This window comes from Homo sapiens, chromosome 2 (assembly GCF_000001405.40).
Source record: "Homo sapiens chromosome 2, GRCh38.p14 Primary Assembly".
Lineage (NCBI taxonomy): Eukaryota > Metazoa > Chordata > Mammalia > Primates > Hominidae > Homo > Homo sapiens.
In genome coordinates, this window is record NC_000002.12 from 11,909,578 (window position 1) to 11,914,284 (window position 4,707).

The window sequence follows — 4,707 nt, forward strand, 5'->3', positions numbered from 1 at the left end:
TCCTCAGACCAACCCTGGCATATAGCAAGCACCCAGGGAATGTTTGCCGGATGAGCTACTGCATGGACATTCATGGACAGAACTCTTCCTTTATTCTCTGTGACCGAGTCTTCCTCATGCTTCCTGTCCGGTGGCTGAGCCTCTGAACTTCCGCAGTAGCTGGTGTGTCTGCCTGTGAGTTGCCTGGAGCACCACTGTCTCCACTTGGACCACCACATGGCCCTATAGCTCACCAGAGCTGCCAGCTGCCACCCACCCATGCATGGGGTTCTCTGCAAGCCACGGTGTTCATCACTTGGTCTTGCTATGTGCTATCTCCGGGGGTCCTCCCTGGCAGGGCAAAAGGAGGCCTGGCAAACCTCTCCTGGGAAGAAGGACAAAGAGGCGGCGTTCACTGGTAGACCATGACCTTCCAGATCTGAAGAGCGTTGTTCCTAGACACCAGGCCTGCAACCATGTAGGCCATTAGATCCCAGAATCTCAGGTCTGGGACTCACTTACCCCATCTCCTTGTTGGCACCAGTGGTATGACTCTTCCAATGCAAACAACCTGGAATTTCCTCTTCAGAGGCGATGGGGAAGCAAGGTATCCGGGAAGAACTTGACTGCTTCACAGCTGAGCAGGGGGAGGGTGGGGATGGTCCTGGGGGAAGAGGTTCCTCAGGGAACACTGTGGGTGGTGCCAGTTTCTGTGAGGAAAGAGAATCAGTAGAGGCCTCCTGGGGCCTGGAGCTGAGAAGAAACCCATAGTGTGAGAACCAGCCAAGGCCCCAGAAAGGATCCTGGGGCACAGCAGAGAGAAAGTGGTCTCAAAACACATGTCCTGGAATGAGAACATCCTCTTCCCACCTGCCCATCTTTACCTTTGTGTCCCATGAACAAAATCCAGAGGCATGGGATGGATTCTGCTCTCCCACACACAGGTGGCTTCCCCATGATCTGGCCCTTTCCCTGGAAGATGAGCATTGCGGTGCAGCCCCTTTAGCTGGAGGCAGAGTGGCCCTTGGCAGCTCTTGAGCCCCTGGGAACTTTTGCTCCCTCATCCATCCATATACAGGCATGGTCTGGACTGTGAGGAATGATATGTGTGAGGCCCAAACAGTGGGGTTTATGTCTTGGTTTCCAGGCAGGCTATCATTTATGGAATAATGGGCAATAAAGAAGTGGAGAGAGAAAATGGAATCATAGTGTGATAGGATGTTCTCAGGGGAGACTGTGTGCCCTGCCTCTCACAGATATTGAAAATGGGGCCGTGATCAATGGCAGCAACATTGCCACACTGATATGTGGGTGACCCCTGGCTGGCTGGGGTCACTGGAGCTGTCAAGATGGACTTGAGCTCAAAAGACAGAGACATTGGGGGGACGGATGGTCTTGGTCCTTTCAAATGAGGCAGAGTTCAGAGATGAGGAGGAACCTGGTAGAACTCTGGAAGGGAAGGAAATGGAACATAATTTCCGTCTGATACTTTATGGACTTCTGATGTCCCTGGGAGTGCCTGGAAGAGCCATAATTGCTTGATGAAGTTAATGTACCTCTTAGACCTGGAAAATGACAGGCCACCCTTGATCAATGACAGTGTGCAGCAGGGACTTTCTCTAAAAGTTTCTTTACGAAACTGCACCAGTAAGTGTAAGTGCTTTCATAACCACTTTTAAACTACGCTGCATGACCTGTTTCTTCTCTAGCCTAGGGTTTTAAAAAACTTTAAAAAATCACATTCTTTATACTTTAAAAAAGAAAGAAGGACAGAAAGAAAGATCCAAATGATATTATGACAATAAACAAAATTGTACTAATTTGTAGACAGGTTGGAGGACATATTTGAAGTAGACATGTGGGGTTTCTGCTTTCTGAAACTAGGGAAATAACTAGGGCCAGAGTCAGGGAGCTGTTGAACCCACTGCGAGAGGGCCCTGAGTGGAACTCCACTGATCCTCTGCCCTCCATAGGCCCCTACTCTGACTGGTGGGCCAAGCCACTGAACCCACTGTGAAGGGGCCCTGAGTGAAACTCTGCTGATCTTCTGCCCTCCATAGGCCCCTGCTCTGACTGGTCGGCCAAGTGACTGAACCCACTGTGAAAGGGCCCTGAGTGAAACTCCGCTGATCCTCTGCCCTCCATAGGCCCCTACTCTGACTGGTGGTCACACTGAAGTTTTGGGTCTCTTGAATTAGTGCGAGTTCAGAGTCAGTGCCTAGTAGTGCCCAAAAGTCTGATTATTTCCTTTCCTCCAATGCATAGTCACTCTGGTAGAAGACTGTAGATCCTTTTGGGGAAGGCTGGGAAAAAGACAGACAGTGTTAATTTTTGGCGTTGTGGTGAGGGGCCCTCCTCAAGGGAGCTGGCTTCCCCTTCACTCAGGTCATTCCAGGTCTGTAAACTGGCTAAAGTCTGGGAATTGGCGAAAGGATTTCAACTCTGTTTTTGGTAATTCATGGTGGACTTCTCTTTATTCAACCTAGGACTCTTCTGCTTATACAGATCAAGTAAGAATTTAGTGGAATATCCACGTATTTCTCTTCTAAGGACACAATGATCAATTAACCAACACCATAGGTCTCTGAGAGTCACACTTTTCAGACTGCTGCTTTGACTCTGCTGTCCATTACAGTAACCACACCCACCTTGTCTTTGGTGATTAAATGCCATTACTTGGCCCCGTTGGCCCATCCTTGCATCCAATTTTCCCCATTGCTTTTAAAGATCACAGTTCAGTGGACACAGTACCTACTGTGATTTCTGGCTTACAGGGAAGAGCAACCCCAGAACTCTCCAAGGATGCTGGGGCTCCCCACACAAGTTTACTTCTCACAGTCATAGTCATAGGTATGTCCTTTTGACCCTTCCAGGTTGGATGAGCAGATCTTACAAGGTAAATCTGTTCTAACATCCAGTCTAAGTCTTTGGATATCTTCTTTTGTAGTATACCAAAGTAGTTATGGCATTTCAGCTTCATTTAGTATAGACCACATTTGGTTCATGTTTCAGCCAACAAACCAACCAAATAGAGCCCTTTCTGACCCCCTGAGGTACAGCATTAAATCCAGAATCTCTACTTAGTGGTTCCATATCAGTAAATACATCCTGATCCAATTTTGTGTTTCTTCCATTGTTAACCCACTCCCTTAGTATCCATTCCCATGCATAATCTGTCGGGATAAATGGGAAAAAGTTATAATTATTATCACGGTAGTAGATTGAGGATGGTAGGAATAAGAGTTTCAATTCTTTTTTCCATTTTATCCTTCTTTATCTTGGTCATAGGAGAGTGAATTTAATAGCCTTACTACTTACGGCTACAGTTTAGTCATGGCATGGCTAGTGTTTATTGTGATTGGAAACAAGTAGTGATCTAGAGTGGGAATTAACCAGATCGAAGATGAAACTGGAACTGAATGTAGAGATACCATCTTCATGCAAACTTGCTTAAAAATAGTAACTTCATAAAATGTGCCTAAAACCTAACTTGCTTTGCAAATATTCAGGGTGTCTTAATCTGTTTCCTGTTGCTATAACTGAATACTGGAGATTGGGAAATTTATAAAGGAAAGGAGTTTATTTGACTCATAGTTCTGGAGGCTGGGAAGTCCAAGAGCATGACACTGGCATCTGGTGAGGGCCTTCTTGCTGCATCATAACCTGGTGGGGGGCAGTATATGAGGAAGGGCTTGCGTATGCATGTGTGTCAGTTTAGATCTCCCTTTCTCTTATAAAGCCACTGGTCCCATCATGAGGGCCCTACCCTGATGATCTTATCTAATCCTAACACCTCCCAAAGGCCTCACCTCCAATCAACACATGAATTTGAGGATCAAGTTTCCAACACATAAAATTTGAATGACATGTTTGAATCATAGCACAAGGTAATGTTAAAAGCATGAGTTTTCAAGCAAGTCCATGTTCAAATTCAAGTGTAGCTGTGCAAACTCAAGCCATTTGTTCATCTGAAAAATTGGGAGTTTAAAAATATCGAACCCATGTATTAGTTTGCTAGGCTTGTCATAACAGAATACCGTAGACTGGGTGGTTGAAACAATAGAAATTTGTTCTCTCACAGTTCTGGAGGCCGAATGTCTAAGACCAAAATGCCAGAAGGATTGGTTTCCTCTGAGGCCCTTTCCTTGGTTTCAGATGATGCCCCCTTGCTGTCTCTTCACATGGCTGGTTCCCTTGGCATCTCCCCGTGTGTCCTAATCTTCTCTTCTCACAGGGACACCAGTCAGACTGGATTAAGACCTATTCTAAGGTCTGCTTAACTTAATTACCTCTTTGAAGGGCCTGTGTCCAAATGCAATCTCATTCTGATGTATTTGGGGTTTGGGTTTCAGCATATGAATTTGGCATGGGGAGTGTGGGCATGATTCAGTTCGTAACAACAATCTACCACACAGGATCATTACAAGGAGTAACCATGTGAAAAGGAGCCCATAGAAACCACTCCAGAAGAAGCAATGGGCATTTTTATTCTTTTAAATAAAAATCCCTCAGGACCTTATTAAGTTTATGTAAGGCATGAATGGTTTGCAAAAGTTCAGTTTAGATTGTTTAGACTCTAATTGTGAGAAGTTTCCAACATGTTCTTTAGCTCAGTTGCCCTCTTCAAAGCTTTCTAGCAAAGAACAGACTCCCCTCAGTTACTCTAGGGATAGTTTTATTGAATAAAGTATCCTCACAAAGCTATTCAATGAGGCCCACTCCCTGGGC

General features: G+C 45.7%; 1 annotated feature.

Annotated features, from left to right (window-relative positions):
* Positions 1,516-1,565: a silencer, noted in NCBI's record as "silent region_11179". NCBI's record gives its function as "represses an Ori minimal core promoter by ATAC-STARR-seq in GM12878 lymphoblastoid cells {active_cell/tissue: GM12878}" and the evidence as "EXISTENCE:reporter gene assay evidence [ECO:0000049][PMID:35858748]".